At 36.5% G+C, this 27689-nt stretch overlaps 1 long non-coding RNA gene across 3 annotated transcripts in view; it reads right to left on the bottom strand.

Moving 5' to 3' along the window:
• The window catches only part of LOC105369165 (uncharacterized), a 486292-nt gene that overhangs the window by 3911 nt on the left and 454692 nt on the right, over positions 1-27689 (bottom strand). For 2 of the 3 annotated variants that reach the window (NR_187747.1, NR_187749.1), the window contains exon 4: positions 86-232. This is a non-coding gene — a long non-coding RNA (uncharacterized LOC105369165). Of the gene's footprint in view, positions 1-85; positions 233-6155; positions 6192-27689 lie in introns of all 3 variants that reach the window. The other variant, NR_187748.1, reaches the window with a different exon arrangement.

Consider the following 27689-nt stretch of genomic DNA (forward strand, 5'->3'; position numbering starts at 1 on the left):
CCATTTATAAACTTCTATATGAGCAGCATACAAGGACATTCCTGGAATACAGAAAGCACTGAAATCAAATCCCAGTTTCACTTACTTCTAGGAAGATTCCCTAAGGTTTAGTTTATTCATCCAAGATACAGAGCAAAAGCTTTCCAGCCAGACAGACAAGGATTAACTCCCAGTTCAATGTGGACTAACTCTTTGGGTAATATATTAAGCTTTCTGGGCTTCAGTTTTCTTCCTGTAAAATGAAGATTATAGCTGTAACTATATCATAAGGTTGTTGTGAAATGAGATAATACATTTATAGCACTTCTAACAGGACATGGTACGTGTGATGTAAGCTTTTTTGATTGTCGCCTACACAATGAGCATATTAATTCATACCCCATGCAATTTTTATGCGGCATAAATTAAATTACAACTAGGATTTTTGTGGGGAGTTTTAGTTTTCAAATCACTTTTCACATGTACATCAAGAACATATTGAATGTGTTCATATCCCTTATCAATAATATAATACATTAATGTGCAAATTGAAAAAAATATGTTTGACTCTTTACAGAATGACCTATAAAAATCTGTGCTATAAAATGCAAATAAATATTGTTTAAAATATGCTACAAAAATAATATTTATAATACTTAACATTTATGTGTCCATCACTATGATAAGTGCTTTATCCGCACTGCCTCATCTAATCATCATATAAGCTTTGAGGAAGGTATTGTTAGCAGTATAAAAAGCGAAGTAAATGACTCAATGCTATTCAGCTAGTTAATCATGGATGAGGCTTTGAACCCAGGCACTTTGAATCCAGTTCTTATGTGAATAACATACCAACTTACTTTTCAGTGGTCAGGAAGTGCCTCTAAAACAAACCAGATAAACAACTCAAACTACGTGTGAAGAAAAGATATTTACTCATCTGAGTCAACTCATTGCTACTTTTTGTTTCTATTAACTTTGATATTCTGGCTGTCTTTAAGATTATATTTTTTAACTTTGGTTTTCTGTAGCTGTATATTATGATATGGCTAGGTATGGATTTCTGTTTAATTATCTTAAGATTTTTGGGTCTCCTTAAAGCCATAAAGTGGTGCCTTTCATTTCTTCTAGAAAATTCTCAGCCATTTTCATCTCAAATAATGTCTCTATCCTATTTTCTTTCTGGGACTCAAATACCTATTAGGCCTTCTTTCTGTGTCCTCCATGTATTTGACCCTATCTTCTGTAATTCCTACCATTGTGTCCCTTTATGACACCTTTTAGATTAATGCTTTTTACACTTAAATATGCATATAAATCACCTACAATCTTGTAAAGTGCAAATTCTGACTTAAGCCTGGGGTGAAACCTGAATTTCTACATTTCTAACATGGCCACTAGTTTGTCTGCTGGTCCATGGATTATACTTTGAGTAGAAAGAGTCTATGTAACTTCTGACCTGTCTTTCTATTTACTAATGCTCTTTTCAGCAGTGTTTAATTTGGTCATCAACCCATCGATTGAGATCTCATTTTTTTCTTATTGCTTTGTTTTTAGTTCTAAAACCTCTGTTTGGTTATTTTTCAAATCTAGTGCCACCCAGGTAATGAGTATAGTACCCAGTAGGTAATTTTTCAGCCCTTGCACCCCTCCCTGCCTCCTATTGTACTCTCCAGGGCCTACAGTTCCTATCTTTATGTCCATGCATACCCAGTGTTTAGCTCCCACTTATAAGTAAGAACACGCAGTGTTTGGTTTTCTGTTCCTGTGTTAGTTCACTTAGGAGAATGGCCTCCAGCTGCATCCATGTTGCTGCAAAGGACATGATGATTTTGTTCTTTTTTATGGCTGTGTAGTATTCCATGGTATATATGTACCACATGTTCTTTAAACAGTCCACTGTGGATGAGCACCTGGATTGATTCCATGTCTTTGTTACTGAGAATACTGCTGCGATGAACATACGGATGCAAATGTCTTTTGGGTACAATGATTTATTTTCCTTTGGTAATGGGATTTCCCAGTAATGGGATTGCTGGGTCGAATGATAGTTCTATTTTCAGTTCTTTGAGAACTCTCCAAACTGCTTTCCACAATGGATAAACCAATTTACATTCCTACCAACAGTGTCTGTGTTCCCTTTACTAAGCAGCCTCACTAGCATCTGTTATTTTTTGACTTTTTAATCATAACCATTTTGTCTAGTGTGAGGTGGTATCTCATTGTGGTTTTGACTTGCATTTCTCTAACGATTCCTGATGATGAGCATTTTTTCAGATGTTTGTTGGTCACTTCTAGGTCTTCTTTTGAGAAGTATCTGTTCATGTCCTTTGCTGCTGTTTAACAGGGTTATTTGTTTTTTGCTTGTTGATTTAATTTTCTTGTAGATTCTGGTTATCAGACCATAGTCAGATGCATAGTTTGCAAATATTTTCTCCCATTCTGCAAACATAGTGAATAAGTTCATTTTTAAAATGTCTGACCATTCCAATCTGCTTTTGTTCTTTCTGCTGCTTCTTTCTAATTAATATTTTGTTGCTGTGTGTGCTCAGTTAACTTTGTGTTTGAAAAATTATCTATACGAATAATTTGAGGCTTAGAAGAAGGCTTCATTCTTACTGACAGCATTGTTGTTTACTTCTGTCATTTGTCTAGAGCCCCTTACCAGTCTGAGAAGATTTTCCAATTGAGCAACTTGCTGCAAGTTCACATAAGACGTTTACTTGCAGTTAAAGACACCCATGAAAATATAGCTATTCAGAGGATCAGTTTAACAGACAGACTCTCCACCTCAGGTGACATTGCTTTAACTTCCGTCTTCATAGTTCCTTAAAACCATCAACATGAAAGCTCATTGCTTTTTACAAAATATATACAAATTTTATTTCTCAACATAAGCTCCATCAAGGTCAAGACACTTTTTTAAGCAATGACAGCAGCCATTTAATCCATCCCCCAGAAGGTCCTGGGAATTTTCCAATGGGAGAATTCTATAGGCAAATTATCACTATGACTTGAACCTACCTCTTTGAATTCTCATCTACTCCAGGATTTTAGTCTCATAATTGTTTGTCTCCTTAAAAGTTGTTTGGTACTTTTTAGTTTTTCCTGGATAGAATAGTTTTTCAAAATTCTCTAGCCTGTAATTACTAGAATCAAAAATTCTGGCTACATACACTTTATCTCATATATCAATTTTTATTTTATCTTGAAGCTCAATGTTGTCTTTCCCTTGGTGTCATATCAAATCTTCTTTAAATAAACATCTATTACTGACACTAATACCTACCCCCAGGAATTTATTAGAGATCATGGTTACAGTCCAACCCCTGATTTCGTACTCCAAAGATGTAGCAAATAGCTCTTCAACATTTCTGTTCCTTGGCCTTTTTCTAGCTACACTTCTTCCAGGAAACCCTAGTAATTCTTCCAAGTGAGGCAATTGAAGAGAGGCAATGGCTTCAAGGAGAAAGGGAGCTAGGGGCCACACAATCTTTAAAATGATCTGAGTGAGTACTAATACTTTTAGGTGAACAGATAAAAATCATCTGTGTAACAGTATGTACCTAAATAATATGCCAATTCTCTGGCTACTAATTCTCTGGATTAAGGCCACCTGATTTCTGACTGAGTTCCATTCTTTTTTTTTTTTTTTTTTTTTTTTTTTTGAGACGGAGTCTCGCTCTGTCGCCCAGGCTGGAGTGCAGTGGCGGGATCTCGGCTCACTGCAAGCTCCGCCTCCCGGGTTCACGCCATTCTCCTGCCTCAGCCTCCCAAGTAGCTGGGACTACAGGCGCCCGCCACTACGCCCGGCTAATTTTCTGAGTTCCATTCTTTAGACCTTTTATTCACTCCTCACTGACGTGTTTCTCCTTGTGTGTTTGGGAGAAGGAAGTTTACATTATGGGGAAAATCCTGATACCTGAGGTTCACTTTCATGATAAACTTAGCAAACACTCAGGTTTTGACTCTGCCCAGTTCTGGAATAGAAGAACACTAGCAGAATTATTTTAACTTGCTTACTTCAGCAAAAGTTAGCCATTTTACCATAAGTCTGTTTCATGTTAGAGAATTTAATTTCCATTGGCATTATTTTAAAATAATATATTTTTTATTCCATATACCGACCAAATTTTTTTAATCTTTTTTTTATTATTATACTTTAAGTTTTAGGGTACATGTGCACAACGTGCAGGTTTGTTACATATGTATACATGTGCCATGTTGGTGTGCTGCACCCATTAACTCATCATTTAGCATTAGGTATATCTCCTAATGCTGTCCCTCCCCCCTCCCCCCACCCCACAACAGGTGTGTGATGTTCCCCTTCCTGTGTCCATGTGTTCTCATTGTTCAATTCCCACCTATGAGTGAGAACATGTGGTGTTTGGTTTTTTTGTCCTTGTGATAGTTTGCTGAGAATGATGGTTTCCAGCTTCATCCACGTCCCTACAAAGGACATGAACTCGTCATTTTTTATGGCTGCATAGTATTAAAGGAAACAGTAAACACAGGATTTCTATCTTCATCCTTGTTAGAATGATGGCATACCTTTTTAAATTTTATTTAGCAACTGTTCATACTTACAATAAATTGCATATTACATTATATAATTAGCACTGATTTAATCAATTGTCTGCTGATAAGCCCAAAACAGATTTAATGAGTAGCAAGCCAAATATATAAATACATATACATATAATTAAATTAGTGTTTGAGAAATATTGAACATACTATAAAATAACTCATCAATTAGTCACATTCACACACTTTTGACATGTCCACACACTTTTGACCATGAGCATACTTAATACCATTTAATACGGGATTTACTGGACCATTACATTGTGTTGAGAATGAAGCATAAAACACGATTTCTGTCTTTAAAAGATAAAATATGATTGACATCTTGAAAAACAATATACGCACACAAATTAAGTGCGAAGAGATGAAAGGCGGCAGAGGTAAGTAGCTACATTAGGGACAGCAGATTGAGGAAATAGGTGAGGTAAATATGAGTACAGTAAAAGCTTCTGCTGGAGAGCAGTGGGACAGATGCCTGGATGAAAAAGGAGATTTGATGTTACTAAGAACTGAAAATTTTTACCTAAGGAATTTGTATTCGATCATCTATTTTGGGGGCATTCTAAATTTCCTGGATAAGAAAAAGCACAGTAAATAAGAGTTTACAGCCATCGGAGATTTTCCCAGTATTACTGACAGAAAGTAAAGAATGAATTAGTGTTGGGCAAATCTTGAAGTAAAAAACAAAAACAAAAACAAATCGCATTCTTTTAAAAGCCAATTTTAAAAATTAAATGCCTTTACTTAAATAGGCCATGTAAAAATAACATGAAGATGTTTTCAGAAAAGGATCACCAGGCCCAATTCCTGAATATTCAGATTTAGTAAGTCTGTGAATACCTGGGAATCAGATAAAGAAATCTGGAATAAAGTAATTGTAAGAAAAAATAAATGACTGGTGCAGAATAGTGATAGTAGAAGCAGACAAGAAATTTATCAAAAAGAGTTTCCCAAAAACAGCCTCATGAGTATTTAGATTCTGGACATGAAAAGCAAGAGAGGGAAATATCATATCAAAGATAACTTTGAAACAAGCATATAGTAGTACATAAAAAATGGTGATTGACTGAATAACTGTTTTTAACAATGAAGTTCACCTTCAGTAGAATAATATAAAAATAAATGCTTTCATACCATTAGTCCTTAAAGATATAGTGAGAATGAGAAAAAGTAAAATTACAACAGAATAACTAGACCCCAATCTCCCCTGTGATGATTGACTGGTAATTTAATTATCGCTACTAATCAACCTCATAGAAACGAACAAACAAAAAACCTATAATCAAGGGAGGAACTGATCACATCTAATTTCCCTAGATACACAGTTTAGCAGAGCAGAAATACCCAGGCATTATTACCAGGTAGAAATTATACCTGGCCTGATTTTGCAGAGATAATTATTTTCTTTCTAGAGGCAATCTTCAGTTTTGTTAATCTTTAAAATGGGTCACTTCTGGAAGCAATGAAGACAAATAGAAACTTTAGTGTGAAGTATATGACCATGAATCAGAACATTCCGGCTCTTTTATTAACTCCTACTGAGTGAATTCCTTTTTGGAATGAGGGAGGAATATACAATCTCACAGGCTTACCTCAAGCAAGTCTCTTATTCTTCCTCAGCCTGTTTCCTATAAAGTAAGAAAATCGAATTAAATAGTCTCTACATTTATTCTGGTTCTAACCTTGTTTTGAATTTTGTTATAGAGATGGTCAGTCTGGTGCAGCCAGAAGATAAGCCAGAGGAGAGGTTCAGGAAAACAAAATTTATAATACAGGTCCTAGAGATAGGAGGCAGATCATGCCATCCACAGTCACATGGGAAAGCATCTGTGTGGTCAGGAGGCAAAGGACTGGAGTGAGCGGCATGTTTAGGGAAGAGCCTTTACGGGGGTTTCTGCAAGAAAGTCCAGGCAGGGCAGGGTGAACAGGTTAGGCTTGGCTAGTTTGAATAGTTTCTGCAGGCTCTGCACTACAGTGGTGGTTACTGTTTGTCTGGAGCCTGGCACTGCCTTGATGAAGGCAAAGGAATATTGCCTCTTGGAGTGTAAGGGTCAGACAGAGAAGGTGTGACTCTGGATTGATTAATTTGCATATCAAAAGCATGTTCCTGGCTGGGCCCTTGCTATAACTAAGAACTGGCTCTCTCTCCTGGGAAAGGCAGTCTCTCCCTAGACAGAAAGAGTTTTTAAGATTTCAAAACATCTTAATATACATACATACACACAAAGCACGTATATTTTACTCATTTTAGTGTGTGTGCCACATGATCAGCCAGATATCCTATAGCGATTAAGTTATATCTGAGAAATCCTTGAGAAAATTCAAGATTTACTTTTGCTAATAACATTCATATAGCATTATTTTAAAAATAATAATGACAAATGCTGAATTGTCACACTCTTAAAATTGTTGATGGCAATAATAATAACATCCTTTTTGCACTAATTAACATTAATTCATGAAAAAAATAATTATCCTATTTCTCAGGCTTCTTATGAGCCTCTCAAATTTCTTTAATTCTAATATAAACAATATATTTAGTAATTTAAGAATGTCAACCACTCAACTGATATTATTGAAACAGTTTTCAATAATGGCTAATCCTTTGGGTAAGACACTGAAATGGGTAAACTGTATTTTCAAGAGGGAAAAGATGAAAAATGTAACTGACATACTATTCTCACTTAAACATTTCTTAATTTCAATGAACTATATATGTTCATACAAATGTGACACATAAACATGCATATGTCTTGCATCCACATGTTCAGTGTTACCACTGCATGTCTATGCACAAAAGTGTCTCTACTGATAGAAAGGAACATAAAGGGATATTCCACATCTCCTGGCAGTTGCCTGTTCACATAGATTTACCATTTCTTCCTCTTACTAGTTCTCCTGTAAGAAGTTGAGTCCTCACTTCTAATGGCCACCTATATTTTGATCTTACAGTCCATTAGAGAATGTGCTCACCTCTACCTTCCTTCCATCTCTCTTTAGACTGCCTGTGTGCACAGGAAACAACACACATTCAGCCATAAATGGCTGGCTTTCAGGACACTGGCCCTATCAGTTCTCTCTAGCCACTTTAGACAACACATAAAACCTGCACATATACACTTGTGAGAAAATTCATGGAACACATTATTTTTGCATCTTGAATCCTCTATATAACAAAATATTTTGCCTGAGCCAAAGGTCAGTCAGAAAACTGCAGTTAGGTAATCCCTTAAGTTTTCTGTGTACTCTAGGCAGACTAATTTCCTAACTGCCAGAAACTTCAGGCTACTTCTCAACATCAAGAAATGGTAAAGGATGCTGAAGTAGATGCCAGGGTCCTAGGAGATCAGTTAGAAAAACTATGAATCTATTCCATAAATATTTTTCTGAGTTGTACAGTCTAGTCTGATGGACTAAAGGACCCCAAAAGAGCCAGCTGAAGGAAAATACATAGGAGTCCTTAGGACTGAAGTGAAAAACAAAAAAAAGTGTGATGCAGAGAGCCAGACAGATTGACAAAGCCTACCTGTCAGAGGCAGCAGGGGTTCCAAGTACTTTATTAGTCTGGGCTACATTTATCTTGCCCTTGGCATGTGGCCTCTGGGAGGAAGAACCTTGTGCAATGAAGGAATGAACTATAATAGTAAGATTTAACAGCTATGCTGTCAGACTACTCTTAGAAAAAACTGGCCAAGTGATGATCCCTCCTAGGAAACTAAAGAAAGATTCAGTTCAGGAGCCTAGGAAGGGCAGGTAGTGATGGGCAGGGACAACAGGCTTAGGCTTAAGGTAGTAGAACCCCACAGAGAGTGCTAACAACCCATCCCCTACTGAGAGAACCCGTGGAGATACAGTTTTACAGCTATTAATATATATGTCATCTCTCAGTATTCTCTAGCACAGATATCGACATTACTGGAGAATAGTGGCCTTCCTGATATAAGGAGATGAAAATTGGAGCACTGACATAAAGATGTTGTGCCTCTCTACATATTGACAGATAAATCTCAAGGTATATTTGGTGGTACATACTCTATACCTAGCTCAGTCACAATAATATAACCTATTTTTTGAGATTTTATAAGGTTTCCAGTACTTTTCTAAGTGGTTTACATGAATTATCTACTGTAATACTCAAGACTAAATGTTCACACTTCTGTGTAGTTGGGATTATTCTCATTTTCTAGGTAAGAAACTTGAGATACAAAGAAGTGAAGTAATTTGCCTAAGATCACAAAATTGATAAAGGTGGAGATCTGGATGCAAACCTGGAAATTCTAAATCCATGGGTCATATTTTCATTCATAATACCACACTATTTTTATAATTAATCCATTATGATTTAACTGAAAGAGGAAATAAAACCTGTTTTCCTGCAACCACCACTTTTTGTCTCTGCAGGTTGTACAGAGCAAGTAAACATGGTCCATTTTTTCCAAGTTCCTTTTCTCGCTGCTGTTGACTATTATGTCTGCTTCTCCAATGTACCATGAATGTCACATCCCATTGCATAATTCAAATGGCCCAGGTAGCCAGTTCATTAGTGGAAAAAGTAAAAATACCATTATCTCATATGAGGCATTTAAAGTTGTCCATCTTTAAATAGGGGACATCTTTAAAGAGTCCCCTATTTGCCCAGTGTCCATTATCATCCCAAGATATCTAGCAGATATGTTTAAGTCACAAATAAATGTCTTAATTGCTTTGACAAGACCTCTTGGGGACATGGAAGAGTATTGTCTCTTTTTGAGGTAATGTTCTTTTCAAACAGCAGTTGATTTAGGAAGCAGTAGGCTAGATACCTTTATTACACATCTTTCCTTAATACATAGACTGCTTGGCAATGGTCACTATTGCTACCATTGGAAAGTATAGAGTAGAGCCCAGCACCATGCATTTTGGGAAATGACAGAACTTTCAAACATAGCTCTCTCTGACACCATTTATCCAAAGCCTGAGGCCTTGCAGTGAGGCTATCCATCACCTCAAGTCCCATCCACCACACATGCCTTTGGTGAGGCCAGTTGCAGCCAGCTTTGCTATTTTTGTATAGTCAGTTTCCTCTGGACTCATAAAGACTACAACAGATAAACTTTTAGTTTTTACACCGTATTTAAGTCTTACTGGGAAAAGAAGTCAAGGAAGCTGTTTTCAGTTTGTCTCTTCCATTTCTCATGAGTTAGCATTAATGTCCATAACATATATAAATTTTTAGCCAAGGTGAGTTAGTAGAGTTCTGCCTACTACTTTATGTTAAAAATCACCTCTCACTGAATGGGTATATCAACCCTGTCTTGAAAGAAAATAGTGAACTCCCTCTTTACTTCTAACAGGACAAAATCATAATGTCAGTTTGCAATTCAGAGCTGGTTTTGCTGTTGTGTGCTGCCATATCCTTGACTGGCATTGATATATTAGAGAAAGAAGTTACTGAAGCCTTGTTTCAGGCACTTCTGTAGCCTTAGAATGTGAGCTGAATATAAGAATCAGGAAAAACCTCTCCAACAAAAGGTAATAAAAAATACGATTTGGTATTGTTTCACTTATGATCAGGCAAGGCAATAAGACTCTTGTACTCCATTCCTCCAAATCTTGTGTTAACTATTCCAAGTGTGTGTATTTTAGGTAAAAGGCTGTTTTCGTATTTTCTTTTAAAATGAACAGCTACCTGCAAGGAATGGAACACACAGAGATTTACATTTACCCAAAGGGGGAAGCTTTAAGTACAATAGCGAGGCTATAATCAGTAGAATGCAAATTGTGTACTCCAGGGACCAGAAGGCGTAACTGTAACACAAAGAGGTTTCCAAGTAAAGAAACAGAGCGGTTCATTTTCTAAGGTTTTCCGATAGTATTATGGCGAATTTGAAATAGCCTTTGATAGCACCAAATCCAGGTGGATGTCAAGTTGTAAATTATTAAAAAGGGTATTGGTACATTGCTTTAATTTTTAATATAGTGTTGCTATCCAGGAGGGGAAGATATAGTTCAGTATTGCTCTCAACAACACATTCCACTTTCCTTACTAAATTTACTCATTATATTTTATAGTATTTTGTTGGTGTTGTTTTCTCCTCTGTCTTTATTCTCCTGAAAAAAATTCATTTGGAATGAATGAATCTCATGGAGAAATTGAAATCCTTGTAATGAACATAGACTAGAAATTGTTTTTATTGCATGTGGTGCAAGATAGTCTATCTTAGATATATGACATGTGCTGAGTGACAAACAGTGTGCCAGGAGCTTTATATATATTTAATTTTTGCAACCCTACTAGGTAAACGTTATTACCACACCCATTTCATAGATTAGGACACTGAAGCATAGACCAATCAAATTACTCTTTCACACAGCTAGAAAATAAAAGAGCATGCATTATGACCTACAAAGTCTGGTGTCAGAGACTGCTTTTAACCAAGATGATATATAATTTATCATCCAAACTGAGATAATCTGGGATGTTAAAGGAGGCCCTATTCATAATTATGGTGGACTATAGGTGGAAGTTGAGATCATTCCAGGCAAATCAGGATATATGGTTACTTTACTCTTAATCTTCATTCTGTGCTGCCCCAAGTTTATTGCCATATTTACTATGTTGCCAGATAAGGCATATATGTAGGTTAACTGCAGCCCTGTAGTCAATATAGGCTTTTCATCATTTACAAAAGCAGTATATAGTCAATAAATGTTTTCATCGGTAATGAACCAATTTCTTAGTTTCCACTATAATGCAGAATATGAGCTGCTATTAAGCATGCCAGCTTAACTACATATTTTTAAGTGTCCCCAGCATCTCTGTTAGAGGAAATTAACTTCATTCCAGTTAACTTAGTAGAGATCTACTGCTGGGGAAATGAAGTCCAACTTCATAAATTCCTATGGCATAGTTGCCCATCACAATATAAAGCTAATGGTGACAAGTCAAAACAAATTAGGCAGCGTGAGCATTGTTACCCTTCTGTAACACAACATTGTTTCCAGAATGCAGATCAGGCTAAATGATCTTTAAGGTAACATCACAATATGTTCTTGATGAAAATACATCTAAAATATATTTCTAACTCATTGACTAGAGTTCCATTCCAACAGACTGATGGAGTTGTTACTGAGGACACTGAGGATTTAACTGAGAAAATCTCATTTACAGCGAATAAATAAACCTCTGCTGATACCTGCAGAATTCAGCTACTCAGAGTCAAAGCATTTCTCACAAATGGGAAATTTTCTTTAAAAGATACATATGAAACAGCCATACATCAAATTCAGGGTCATTATGTGTGCAAATTAGCTCTTGTAATAAATTAGCTTAAAAACTCTGAGCTTTAAACAAACCAGTTGCAATAAATGGGCACATGAAGGAGCTTTAAGACTAATCAAAATGTAGATTCTATATTAATTCACAGGAAAGCCCCTGAAAAAACCCATGTATGCATAATCATCCTTTACTTTGGGCTTAGATGTCAAGACCTACTATATGTCCTATATATCGTGCTATATATATCCTATATATCCTACTATACATATATATCTCTACTATATATCCTAGTTGAACTATAAGAGATTGTCATTCTAGTTACTTTGCCACTCAATGAGAGAAAGGGGGAGAAATTCACTATTTGCCTAAGCAATTATGTGGTACACAGTCTTTTAGTTAAAAGTTAGAATATTGATTGTCAGAAGATGTCAGCTAGAATGGTGGAGTAAAGATGTAGAAAAATCTGTATCATAAAATAAACATTAGTAAAAACTGTGAAAATTCACCAGAGATTGAGATATCCATAAGGTCCCTTCTAAAGCTCTGAAACCTAGTTGGGAATCTAGAAGGCCATGTACATAGGCAGAGCAATGTATGCTGAGGAAAGACCTAAGAAGGCCCTAAGATCCCAACACTGGCTGACCTCAAAAGCTGCGCAAGCAGGAAGTGAAAGCTATGGCAGAATTATCACTGCTTGCTGGAGCGCTGAACGCATGCCCCAAGCACCGTAGCTCCTATATAGCTCTCTTCTCTGCTTCCTTTATATTATTATTGTTACTAATCACAGCTATATAAATTATGCGCCTGTCAACACAGATTTATAACTGTTGCCTTCTGTAATTATCTTTTAAATCAGAAGAAGAGGGAATTATAGAGAAAAAAATTATATACACATATAGTCTTTTTTAGTCCAAATGAGATTGATATAAACTAGGTATTAATTGCAATCTTCTGGGCAATTGCCAAGAAAATAATTTTTTAAATAGAGCAAAAGAAACAACAAAGAAATTAAATGGTACACTAAAAACTACTTAAGAAAAATAAAAAGGAATACAGAAAAGCAAAATGTATAAGACAACAAATAGCAAAATGAAAGATATAAATCCTACTTTATTAATCATTACTTTAAATAGAAATGAATTAAATATTTTATTCAAAAAGGAGAGATTAGAAGATTTTTTAAAAAGCTGATCTGACTGTAAAACAATGGGAACTACATATCAAGCAAACAGCAAACAAAGAGAGCTGGACTAGCTATGATAATAACAGACAAAGAAACTTTAAGACAAGAAATATTACTAGAGAAAAAGAGACATTTCTTAATGAAAAAAGTGTCAATCAATCAAGAATATATAACAATTATAACATATATAGACCTCACAACAGAGCTTACAAATACACACAGCAATATCTGCCAGAATTTCAGGGAGAAAAATCTATTCAACAATAATAATTGGAGATGTCAATATCCCATATGTAAAATAGATAGAACACCTAGCCAGAAGATCATCAGCTTGAATAACAGTATAAACTAACTAGACTTAAGAGACCTCTACAAAACTCTCCATACAACAGCAGCAGAATACATGAATTCCCAAGTGCACAAGAAACATTATGGAAGATAGGCCATATATGATCCCATGAAATAAGCCTGAGTATATTTAAAATAATTGAAATAATACAGAGTATGTTCTTTGACCAAAATGGAAAGAGATAAGAAATCAATATCAGAGACGAATTTGGACAAGTCAAAAAATTGTGGAAATTAAGCAACAAATTCCTAACTAACCAATTAATCAAAGAGAAAATCACTAGGAAAGTTAAGGAACACTTTTAGATGAATGAATATAAAAAGACAATATACCACACTTATGAAATACTACTAAAAGATTCTTGCCCACATGGAGTTCTGATTGCAAAAGATAGAAACAGACAATAAGCATAATAAATGAATTATATTAAATAGTTATCTTAGAAGTCACTACTGTTGTAAAAACTGTCTTCTATTTGTGCCACAATTTTGTATCACAGTTAAGGACAATTCAAAACCATCACATTGTCTGGTTAGAGGAACAGACTTTTTTGGGAAAGGAAACACAAAACTTTGTCTGCAAAAGAAGAGAAGCACTGGTTCTGCAGCCTCCCTCCTGCAATCAGGCTGGGACAGACTATTCTGCTGGACATGCAAGATGCACCGTAATCCAGGGGAGAAAAATCCTTCCCCTTGGCAACCTCTTCTTTCATAGGCAAGTATGAGAAAAGCATCACTGTTAGTGGGGGAATACCCGGAACACTTTGGGCCAAGACATTCTGGCTTTTTGTGTCACCTGTTTAGAATTATTTTCTGGGAACCTAGAACCCTTGCCTGGTGTTGTACCCATGCTCCCAAACAATGGGGATTTATAGTCTGTCCATTCTCCTTTCCTCTATCTCCTATTTGACTGGGGGAACCCCTGAGCCATGGGAAACTGACAAGAGTAGAAAGTCCACGACTGGACCCTTCTAACTCATTGTTCAGGCAACGTGGTGAGTAATTAAATATTTCCAACCCAGTTTTGACTCAAGGGATTTAAGATGTTAACCACATCAATATCCTTCATTTCAATTTTATTGTTTTTATTAATACGCTATTATTTTTAGCCTATCTCAATGACTCTGAATATCATATTTTAAAATGAGAAAAATATGTAAAGGGGTGAACTATGGGACTAAGTAAACCTCCCTCCCATCCTGAAAGGAACGGATTGCCAGTGATGGCGACCACATACTGACAGGCTAAAAAGATTCCAGCCTCAGACTCTCACTCTCTCTGGAAACACAATTTTCATGGTACATTTAGCAAATGCTTTATTATAATTGAACGTCTATGAAACTACATATTATGCAAATAAATTAATTATCATTTGTAGCATTACAATGGCTAGTAAATCAATTCATAATTATATGACACTTAAAATAAATAGAATAACACTCTTTAAATTTCCCTGCTAAGTGCTAATGCATAATATTCTCAGTCACACAGCAATAAAATAGTAAAAGGAGAAGCAATACCGTACACTGAATCACGACTACCGAGCGTAAAATGAAGCCATGGTGACTGCAAGATTTGCTCTCTGTCCTTTTACATAAAAGCCTTTTGAATGCTCCAAATACCCTGAAGAAATACCTATAAATATATCAAATATACTTTTGTTCATAATCAGTAACAGACATCTGAGATCAGAACAGAGTATTTGTTGAAAATAAACCTTCTAAAAGTTCATCCTTTTCTGATCTGGAATATTGTTTTCAAGATAAATTCTGCATCAAGGGAATTGCTTTGCCACACAAGAATAATTGATAAGGTAAAACTTAAAAAAAATACAGTAATGGAAAACTCCTACCCTAAAGTTATACTTGCAAAACACACAGTTTGGACACAATACTGCTAGTGGTAACTCTCCTAAGCATTTCAATGGAGAAAGCCTCCCCAGGAATCAAAATGTAATACAACTCTCAAGACAGACAGATGAATCTGGAGCCTTGAAAGACAGTGAGCATAAAGCATAAGAAATCATTTCTTATTTTGTGTTCCTTAATTTTCTCATTGATATCTGAAGATCATGTAATCCAAAGACTGCTTGCAATCTGAATGTCCAGGGAAGCATTTGACTTATCCCAGAAGGCTGTGCATTTAAAGACCTTCAATAGGTAAAGGAGGAAACTTGGCTTATTTTATTTTATTGCTACAATGGAAATTGTGCACGTACATGTACACTAGGAGCAATGCTCTGAAGAGCAAATGGAATGTACAATGAGATGTGGCTTTGACATGCTTGGTTGGCAATGTTTTCTCCGTTCCATAGTAAATCACAAGAATGGCAGCAACATGCCGTCAGAATGTAAGATAAATAATAATTTTTCCAAGTCCCAGGCACTCTAAACCTGAAGACACCATGAGATGAAAACCAATTTAGAAGTAGCTTTATTTTGTGGAGTGTAACCAAAGAGCACAGTGCTAACCACAAGGATTATAGACTCTCCAAAATGCTTAACTGTGGCCTTGGAAAATTTATTTAAATCTTCCAATTATAAAATATGTGAAATTTGAAGATTTGAAAATTAACTGATTCACCTCTGATAAAAAGTTACAAACTTAAGATTGAATAATATTAAAATAATAGTAATCATTACCAATTTCTTAATGCACTACAATTGTGGTTAGAAATTTTGTTTATTGAAAGTCTGTGCCAAGTTCTGGGATGGTTGTTAAGAAAGATGTGAAGATGTATAGATTGCTCCCTGATAAAAAAAAAAACTTTAATAAGCTCTTATAAGACAAAATGGTAATTTAATGGCTTTGTAATGCGTCAAGATAATACCAAGATGAAGTTTAAAATGGGTTCATATACCAGAAGTACACATAGTATGTTTTCAATTTTGATTGCACCTGTTAGTGTGGAACATCTAAGTCTAACCCAATTATCTCCAAAGTGCCCAGGGCTTTTTTCTTTGCCTTCTCCTCTCATAGCCATCTCCTCTTCCATGTGATGTATATAATTTACCATTTCTCTTGTTGACTTTAGAGGTGCTCTTCTCTAAGGTCTTTGCTCCTGTGGCTAGGGAAAACACTTGAGAGTGACTCACCAGGACTTTGAGCATGGTTCTTACTGTGAGAATATGGGTTCCTGTGACAAAGTTTTCAAAAGCCACTCACTGGCATTGCCTACTGGGATCTCCATCCATGCCCCCAGACATGTTTCCTGTTAGAGCCTCCACCTGTAAACCAGAGGCATGCATGCATCCAAATTTTTCTAAGATCAATGCCAAGTTCTCTTCCAATTAAAAAAAATTGTTAAAAGACTGATAACCACTAATCTTCTAACAACACCATGATTTTCGGGGTCTTTATATAAACATGTTTTAAAATTTTACTCATAGATCTCTGTCTTTATAATGCAGATAATCTAAGTGACAGAAGTATTCATAATTATAGAATGTAAGAATTACAGGAGTGGATATATTTCATTATTCTGTACTTCTAAAGATCACAAGAGTTAAAATACTTAAGTGAAGAATGCTGCTAGTAGAGAATCATAGTTTTCGTTCTGTCACTGAAATATATCCTCAAATCCACCTTTGCTTCCTAGTGAACAGGTTTGCCTATCATGAAAATCATATATCAAATTAATATCATTTTCTTCATTTTGGACATACTAGAACATCATTTCTAAACAGCCATAAAAGTGAAAGAGAGCTGAATTTCTCTTCCAACTTCTTAAGGTGTACTGAAAGTGTTTCAACAGAAACTGTGATCAGTGATAACTATGATTCACAATACTCAGCAAGAATACTCTAAGACCCAAAAAAGGGTCAAAAATAAAATATTTCAGGAGTCTCAAGGTTGAAAGTTGTAACCATTTTTTTTTCATTGTTCAACTTCTACCTCCTGTTTCTACTGAGTATCCAATTATATTGTTAACATCCCATGGTGTAGGGATATATCCAAGGACATTTGATTAGTTTCATTTTTTTTCTTCTTAAAATGTAATACTCATAAAAATATTCATCTCTACTTATGGATTTGGAACACTTAATGCTGTGTTTTCTCCCCTATAGTATGTTGTGATGAACTAGAACTTCAATCCCAAATTAAACTGTGTATCAGAACAATTACATTACAGGATCATTCAAGGTGTTCATTTTTTCTGGATGATTCATATACAGCCATGAAGTGATATTGATATGTATCCAGTAGAAAGAAGGAGGAGAATAATGTTTTTCTAACACAATAATCCCAGGGTTAATGTAGCTTAGTGAATACTGTAAAACTCATTATAGAAAAATATGCTGTCTTCGTATGAAGCTAGATTGTATTTCCTTGCTACACAATCATTTTAGGGGTGAAGTGTGTTTGACTCTAGGAATTTAGCATAGGGTCTACTCAGTCTTGCTTGGAGTAGAAACTGAACTAGAATTAAAACACTCAGCACATTCACCATTTCTTGAGTAATCAGAATCCATTCCCATCTTTTTTAAAGAAGAACTTTCATGAATAATTATTTGAATTCTTAAATAACAAAGTTAGTGATATGGTGTGTCTGTGTCCTCACCCAAACCTCATCTTGAATTGTAGTTCCTGTAATCCCCGCATGTCATGGGAAGTAATTGAATCATAGCAGTGGGGTTTTTTCATGCTGTTCTCATGATAGAAAATAAATCTCAAGAGATCTGATGGTTTTATAAAGGGCAGTTCCCCTGCACATGCTCTCTTGCCTGCCACCATGTAAGAGAGGCCTTTGCTCCCCCTTTGCATTCCGCCATGACTAGGAGGCCTCCCCAGCCATGTGGAACTGTAAGTCCATTAAATCTCTTTTTCTTTATAAATTATCTAGCCTCACCTATTTCTTTATTAGCAGTGTGAGAATAGACTAATAAAGTAAACTGGTACCACAGAGAATGGAGTGCTGCTGTAAAGATATCAAAAATGTGGAAGTGACTCTGGAACTGGGTAACAGGCAGAAGTTGGAAGAGTTTGGAGGGCTCCACAGGAAACAGAGAGATGTAGAAAATTTGGAACTTCCTGGAGACTTGTTGAAAGGCTTTGACCAAAATGCTGATAGTTACATTGACAATAAGGTCCAGGCTGAGTTGGTCTCTGATGGAGATGAGGAACTTGCTTGGAACTGGAGTAAAGGTCACTCTTGCCATGCTTTAGCAAAGAGACTGGTGGCGTTTTGCCCCTGCCCTAGAGATCTGAGGAACTTTGAACTTGAGAGAGATGATTTAAGGTCTCTGGCAGAAGAAATCTCTAAGCAGCAAAGTATTCAAGAGGTGACTTTGGTGCTCTTAAAAGCATTCAGTTTTATTCATTTACAAAGATACAGTTTGGAATTGGAACTTATGTTTAAAACGGAAGCAGAGAATAAATATTTGGAAAATTGGCAAACTGATGATGCAATAGGAAAGAAAAATCCATTTTCTGAGGAGAAACTCAAGCCCACAGCAGAAATTTGCATAAATAATGAGGAGCTGAATGTTAATCACCAAGGCAATGGGACTAATTTCTCCCTGGCATGTCAGAGACCTTCACAGCAGCACCTCCCATCACAGGCCTTGAGGCCTAGGAGAAAAAAATGGTTTTGTGGGCTGTGCCCATGGCCTTTCTGCTGTGTGCAGCCTAGGGACTCGGTGCCTTGTGTCTCAACTGCTCCAGCTATGGCTAAAACGGACCAAGGTATGGCTTGGGCTGGGGCTTTAGAGTGTGCAAGCTTCATGTCTTGGCAGCTTCCACATTGTGTTGAGCCTGCGGTGCACAAAAGTTAAGAAATGAGGTTTGGGAACCTACACCTAGATTTCAGAGGATGTATGGAAACACCTGGATGTCCAGGCAAAAGGTTGCTGCAGGAATGGAGCCCTCATGTAGAACCTCTGTAAAGGCAGTGTGGAAGGAAAATGTAGGGTTGGAGGCCCACACAGAGTTCCCACTGGGCACTGCCTAGTGGAGCTGTGAGAAAGAGGGCCACTATCCTCCACACCACATAATGGTAGATCCATTGACAGCTTACACTGTGCACCTGGAAAAGCTGCAGACTCTACATGCCAGCCAATGAAAGCAGCCAGGAAGGCTGTACCCTGCAAAGCCACAGGGGCAGAGCTGCTCAAGACTATGAGAATCCACCTCTTGCATCAGTGTGACCTGAATGTGAGACATCAAGTCAATGGAGATCATTTTGTAACTTTAAGGCTTAATGATTGGCCTATCGATTTTTGGACTTGGATGTGGTCTGCAGCTCCTCTGTTTTTACTTCCATTTACAGGCATTGGGTAAATACACACATTTGGAGACGGTATACTAATTCAATGCTTATACCCCCATTGTATCTAGGAAGTAGCTAACTTGCTTTCAATTTTACAGGCTCATAGACAGAAGGAACTGGCCCTGTCTCAGATGAGACTTTGGACTTGGACTTTTGGGTTAATGCTGGAATGAGTTAAGACTTTAGGGGATTGTTGAGAAGGCATGATTGTGTTTTGAAATGTGAGGACATGAGATTTAGGAGGGGCCAGGGGAGAATGACATGGTTTGGCTGTGTCCCCACCCAAATCTCATCTTGAATCATAGTTTCCATAATCCCCATGTATCATGGAGGGACCCAGTGGGATGTAACTGAGTCATGGGGTCAGGTTTTTGTCATGCTGTTCTCATGATAGTGAACAAATCTCAAGTGAACTGATGGTTTTATAAAGGGCAGTTCCCCTGCACACATTCTCTTGCTTGCTGCCATGTAAGACAGGCCTTTGCTCCTCCTTTGCCTTCCACCATGATTGTGAGGCTTACCAGCCATGTGGAACTGTAAGTCCATTAAACCTCTTTTTCTTTATAAATTACCCAGTCTTGGGTATTTCTTCATAGCAATATGAAAATGGACCAATACAGCTGGCAAAATGAAAATGACCAAGGATCATGGGCTAATTATTGTGTGGAAAAAGGCAGAGTTTCCCAGGGGAGGGGGACACTAGCTTTTTGTGTAGAAGGGCACAGGGTTTATGAGAAAATTTAAAAGATAAAAAGATGAAATATGATTGAGAATATTGAGTGACAGAGCAGGGGATGTTCACATGAGGGACACTGAGGTCTTGTCATTCATTGTAAAATATATATGAGCAAGTCAGTTGGACAAAGCCATAGGAGTCCCAGGGTATACCATGCTGTTTGTTGCTTTGGGATGTTTAGTTGGATCTTGTGTACAATCCAGAAAAGTTAGGTGTGACCATTTTTAGAAAGTTTGGGAATCTGCCTTCTGACGTTCAGGAGGCATATTGGGCAGAGATGAGCCTTACAACGTCTCTAGCCTTCCTATGATAGAATATTGGATGAAGAGGTCAAAGAACCAGCAGGCAATGGTTGGCGCATGATAGTGAGATTGATTGGAACGTCAGCTCTTTTCATCTCTCCCTAGTAGCGTACTGAGGGACACCATTTATATTCCTGAAGAAAGGTTTTTCTGGCACTGGGTTACCATGGGGAAGGATAATTTTCAAGGTTGGGGAAACATCATTCAAACTTACATCTCAGTAAAGGCTTGTGAAGGTATTTTTATGTTTTTTAAAAGTTAGTATTGTAAAAGATTATGGCCTTTTTGAGAACATGTTCTAGGGAATTGTGTCCAAATTGTGTCCAGGAAAATCTGAGATAAGAGGCTAAAGAGGCTCACAAAGAGGAAAACTGGATTTAAAAGAGTAGCCTCAAAAGGCAGAAGTTCAGAGGGCTAAAAACCAAGAATTTGTAGAGGACAAGGAACCACCTGTGTTTAGTAACCTAGTCACCTTCATGAGCAATGGTAGAAGTTGGCAAGATGCCTAAAAAGAACAAGTAAAAAAGATCATATCTATGAAATAAAACGAGAGTTTCTGCACTCACAAGTATTGTTCCATTACCTTGATTCCCATAGCAAAGTAATTTATGTGTATTGTATCGAATCAAAGTCATACACCAAGACAATTTTGTTTATTTGGTCTATGGTTTCTCATATCTGATAATATTTTTAAATTTTAACTATTAAAAAAGTAATTAAAAGTTAGTTTAGAAATGTATGGACAAAGACCAAAAGACAAAAAAAAAGCTCCACTGTTTTGAGTGATAAGATGAAATCAACTTTGCAAATGGTAGCACCATGCTCTCTAACCCTAGAGCCCAAGGATATTAGCATCATGGTAAAGTGCAAGAATCATGGGCGTACAAGTCAATCTGACACGAATTCAAAGCTCATTCTAGTTTTATTAGTAATGAGCAAGTTACCTCATTTCTTTGTCTTAATATTTACTTCTATAATTAAAATGGTTTGGTTCCGTGTCCCCACCCAAATCTCATCTTGAACTGTAATCCCCACGTGTCAAGGGATGGGCCTGGTGGAAGATGATTTAATCATGGAGGAAGGCTTCCCCCTTGCTGTTTTCAAGATAGTAAGTTATTATGAGATCTGTTGGTTAAAAGTGTGCAGCAATTCCCCTTTCTCTGTCCTTTCTCTCTCTCTTTCTCTCTCCTGCCACCATGTGAAGAAGGTCCTTGCTTCCCCTTCCACCAAGATTGTAAGTTTCCTGAGGCCTCCTATACATGCTTCCTATTAAGCCTGCAGAACTGTGAGTCAATTAAATCTCTTTTCTTCAAAAATTACCCAGTCTCAGGTAGTTCTTCATAGCAATGTGAGAATGGATTGATACAATAATATAGGAAAAATTTGTTATTTTATATTACTGTAAGCCCAAGACTTGCACCTGTTGGTGTTTAATAATAGGTTATTTTGTTTTTTTTTCTCTCCAGTAAGAATAGCTTGTTAGATAAACTTCTGATGTTTTCCTTCATTTCTTTACAGTTTCAGACAAGAGCACTACTGTTCGTTCTGACTTGTAACCTAGAAGACAGATGTAAATGCTAAAACCTGTGGGTAACTGGTTACTTGACAGTCATTCATGAGGGATAGTCACTGTCTACGTTTGTTCCTCCAGATGAATAGAATACAGTTGGCCCTTCATTTCTCAGGTTCTATATCTGTGGATTCAACCAACCACAGATCAAAAATATTTGGAGAAAAAGTAAGAAGTAACAATACAACAATTTAAAAATATACAAATAAAAACCAATACAAAATAACTATTTACATAGCATTTACATTGTCTTAGTTATTATACATAACCTAGAGATGATTTAAAGAATACAGGAGGATATGCATAGGTCATACACAAATACTATACAATTTTATATGAGGGACTGGAGCATCTCCAGATTTGTGTATTCTCCGGGGGCCTGCAACCAATCCCCTATGACCACTGAGGGACAAGTATACTTAATGAACAAATATTGCCAAGATTCTGTCTCAGTTGAACTCAAAAGCCCTTGAATATACTCTCACTGTTTAACTTAGAGACCCCATTCATCCATTCTTGCTGTCTAGAGCCATTTAAAATGATTATGTTTTTTGTTGGTTTTATGTGTTAATTCCCCTGGGAAGAAATGTAACACGACTAACTCCTGTTACTTTGATAATGATGGTTAGCATTCATTTCCCAACTAGCCACTGGAAGTGGTCAAAAGAAATCAAGTAAACCACACAGTGAATATATTCAGGGCAAGTTGTCCTTTCCACAGATGGACATGGACCTATCAGTACAATAAACTTGCTGCTTAATGCAAGATAAATAAGTACATAAAGTGCTATAAATAATTAAGCATGCATGATGATATTTCAGAGAAAAATGCACAGTATCTAGGAAACCTGAGAATATTCTCTCCTCCAGGGAGAAACCCTGATTAGGAGCTGATACTCTAACTAAAATTCATTCAAATGTGTCCTTCCTTTTTCTTTTATTTCTGCTACTTTTTGCCTGGAAAATTAGTGAAAGCACCTCACAGTAGGAGAATAACGGATCCCCATGGATATCTACACCTTAATTTCTGGAACCATTAAGCACGTTACATTCCATAGAAAGGGAGAATTGAGGTTGCTGATGGGAGAAAAGATTGCCAGTCATTTCAACTCAACATAAGGAGCTTATCCAAGATGATCAGGAGTAGGAGGAGAGTGACGTAATAATAAAGATCCTAAATTTAGAAGAAGGAATCAGAAGAGGAGATAAGAGTGATGTGATGTGAGATGAAATTGACTTTCTGGCTTCAGAAATGGAATAATGGGACCATGATTCAGGGACTGTGGGCAGGCTCTAAAAGCTGAAAAAGGCATAGAAATAGATTATCCCTTAGAGCATTCAGAAAGGCACTCAACTCTACCAGCAAATTTTAAATACTGAGACCTATTTCAGACTTTGGAACTACAAAGCTGTAACAATAAATCTGTGTTAGTTTAAGCCACTGTTGTTGTATTACTGTAGCCATAGAAAATTGACATACCCCTAGATAAGGATTTTCACTTTTGTTCACTTATAGGTAAGTTGGCTTTTCCATTCAGGGCTGAGAAATTTGTATGGAGAGTTCAAAACTGGATACCAGTCAGAGATATTTTTCTATACTCTACCAAACCTGTGGAAATTGCAAACATGTGTCTAATTGACTGACATTTTAAAATTTTCAGACCTTGTTTTTTATACAGTGTAAATTAGTACTTTCTATATGTTCACTTATCCCACTATTATTATTATTTACTAGGAGTTATTATTTTTTTAAATATACAACTTTTGTAATTTTTATCGCCCTTTGGTGGTGTTTTGACATTTCTGTTACTTTCACAGATGCAGAGGGGTGCTGAGGAGAATTAAGATCTGTCCCTCCACCCTGAGCAGAAACCTCAAGAGTGAAACAGAAAAGTGGATTTAGGTCACTAAAATATATTTCCACAGTATCCCTTCTGCTCCTCTCCCTCTTTTTACCTGTTCTAGCTCTTTCTTCTAGTTCAGGCTAGTAGTGGGAACAAAACTCCATCTCTTCCTGGTGCCTAGATGTAATTGGAGGGTGAGTTAATGGAGTCTGGGGAAAAGAAAAAATGGTGAGCCTAGAGGAGTGGATAAAAATTGGCTTGACTTTTTAAATTGAGGGGATAAAAAAACAGCTGCCTGTGTGTGAACATGTGTGTGTGCATGAGAGAGAGAGAATGCATTCTCCTCACCTAGGTGACAGATTACACTGGAACCACTATCACAGATCAAATGAAGTTGGAACCCTTTAACAACTCAGGCACTGAGAAAATACCAGGCAGAACAGAAGCCCAAGATATGAGACACAGAATGCTTTTAAATTTCAGGAAGTCTTATGCTGACTTTTTGCACTAAAAGACACTAATGAAATTCTTTTTTAAAAAAATATTTCTATTTTAAGTTCAGGGGTACAAGTGCAGGTTTGTTACATAGGTAAGCTTGTGTCATGGGGGTTTGTTGTACAGATTATTTCATCACACAGGCATTAAGCCGAGTATCCATTTGTTATTTTTTCCTGATCCTCTCCCTCCTTCCACTCTCCACCCTCTGAAGGGCCCCTGTGTGTGTTGCTTCCCTGTATGTATCCACCTGTTCTCATAATTTAGCTCCCACTTACAAGTGAGAACATGTGGCATTTGGTTTTGTTTCTGTGTTAATTTGCTAAGGATAATGGCATCCAGCTCCATCCATGTCCCTGCAAAGGACATGATCTCATTTCTTTTTATGGCTGCATAGTATTCCATGTTTTATATGTATATATATATGTGTATATATAGCCTTTGTAAATAAGCAATATAAGATATATATATAAATATATATAATGTGGAATACTATATAAAATGCTGTGTGTGTGTGTGTGTATATATATATATATATATATATATATAACATTTTCCCTATCCAGTCTATCATTGATGGGCATTTAGGTTGATTCCATGTCTTTGCTATTGTGAATAGGGCTGCAATAAACATGTGTTCATGTGTCTTTATAATACAATAGTTTATATTCCTTTGAGTATATGCCCAGTAATGGGACTGCTGGGTTGAATAGTATTTCTGTCTTCAGGTCTTTGAGGAATCACTACACTGTCTTTCACAATAGCTGAACTAATTTACATTTCCACCAACAGTGTTTAAATAAGTGTACCCTTTTCTCCACAATCTTGCCACCATCTGTTATTTTTTTACTTTTTAATAAAAGCCATTCTGATTGGTGTTAGATGGTATTTCATTGTGGTTTTGATTTGCATTTCTCTAATGATCAGTGATTCTGAGCTTTCATTCATATGATTGCTGGCTGCATGTATGTCTTTTTTTTTAAACTGTTCATGTCTTTGCCCACTTTTTTTATGGGGTTGTTTGCTTTTTTCTTGTAAATTTGTGTAGGTTCCTTACAGATGCTAGATAACTAAGGAAATTCTGTAGTTCTCAACCCAACTGAGAAACCAAAACTGAGCTGAAGATACTCCTTGATCCTCTAAAATTACTGATCCTCTCTGCTCTCTCCAGTCAGAAAAAAAGAGATGTCTGCAGTAAAACACTCTTGAACACACACACACGCACACACACACACACACACACGTTATACACTTTGTTTTATTGACTCTTCTGCCTGCATTAGTTTTTTGTGACATTTACTCAATCTCTTTTTCTATGTTAAAAAAAAGGCATGAAGAAGTAACTATAAGAGCTATTTTACTAAAACATTTCCAAGTGATTGGGCCTTGTAAGTAGTGTAAGATAAAACTTGAAGAAGGCATTCTCTACAGAAAAGCCAAAGAAGTTTTTTGACCTCTTTTAAAAAGTTAAAACTAAATCCATTACTGCCATGCCTAAAATCCCCCGGTGGCTTCCTACCATTCTTAGAATAACAGTCTAAACCCTTGCCGTATCCTGGATGCGTGGCCTTGCCTGTAATGCTTCTTCTGCCTACCTTCTCATTCCCATTTTATACCCTAGGGACACTGCTTCCTTCTGTTTCTCAGACTTGCCAGGCACATTTAATCCCTTAAGGCTCTGCACATACTTCTTCTGCTTGGAATCTTCTTCCTTCAGATTATTCACATCCCTCTGACCTCAGATTAAAGGGCTTTTTTTTCTGAGAGGCTTTCTCATTGTCCTTATCTAAAGTGATCCACCTCAGCTATTCTGCTCATTGCTCAGTGAACTTCAAGGCATTCAACACAATCAATAATTAATGTGTATAATATGCATTTTCACATTCCATTATCTTTGTTTCTCATTAGGATATTGCCTCCCCGAGATCAAAGATCTCATCCTTTTATTTACCACTGTGTCTGCAGTGCCTAGAATAAAGCTTGGCACATAGTATAAACAAACTCAATATTTGTTGGTTTAATGGAGCTTCCCTAAATTCTGCAATGTTTCTGGTACTGAATTCAATTTACCCCAGGATGTATGCAGGTTGCAGAATTTTAGAATTAGAAGGCCTTTGCAAATCAGCCTTATTTCAGTAGAGATGAGACTGAGACTCGATGTAGACAAGAGCTTTGATTAAAGCTGTCTACATAACAACTACATAGTTATCCCTGAGCCTGCAGTGCTACTCCAACCATATTATCAAAGAAAATAAGCCCCCATGGACTTTTACTCAGTTTAATAGTCTGGTCAGTGTATTATTATTATTATTATTATTTTATTAATCTTACATTACTTATTTACAAAGACTAAGCATGTTTTCAACATTTATCACCTAGATCAAAAATCAGTCTTGGGCCTGTATTCCTCCCAGAAATTGAAGAACTTTTTCTCAGTTAGTATCAACAATTAGTTAAGGAGGTCACATGTCTATTTTTGTCACCTTTGGAGAACTATCCAATAAACCACCACAGATTCCCACAGCAACTATGAAACAACAGAAACCTAGCTCTTTTCATAGGGCATGCATATCTACTATTCTCTACAAATTTTCTACATTTCTTATGTAGAACAAGGGTTATATAAAAGGGTTCTATGTGTACAAAGCGTATAATTCTGGGTGCAGGGACAGAGGATGGAGTTGTCATCACTCAAATGTAGTTATGGTTGCCATAAACACTCAAAGTTAGACATATTTATCATCTGTAGACATAGGACTAAGCCATTCAGTTGAATTCCTAACTTTTCTTAGGAATCCTGCTGGGAAAGAATAAATGAAAATGTCTTATGCTATCAATATGTATTTTATTCCATATTATTTATGGTTAAAATAATAGATGGTACAAAAATTAGAATTAAACCACATCAACATTACTGTATCACTAACACATTTAAGTCAAATATACCTTTAATTTTTCAACAATCTTCTCTCTTCCCTCTGTTTTTAGAATTTATCATTTTTTAAACTTTTAAATTATACTTTCATAATGTATTTCTCAGCTCACGACACTAGGAGGGATTTTGTTTATACTGACATCCAACAGGGAAAATACTATTATACAATCAAATATTTTATTGAAAT

The sequence above is a fragment of the Homo sapiens genome, chromosome 2 (genome assembly GCF_000001405.40).
Source record: "Homo sapiens chromosome 2, GRCh38.p14 Primary Assembly".
NCBI lineage: Eukaryota > Metazoa > Chordata > Mammalia > Primates > Hominidae > Homo > Homo sapiens.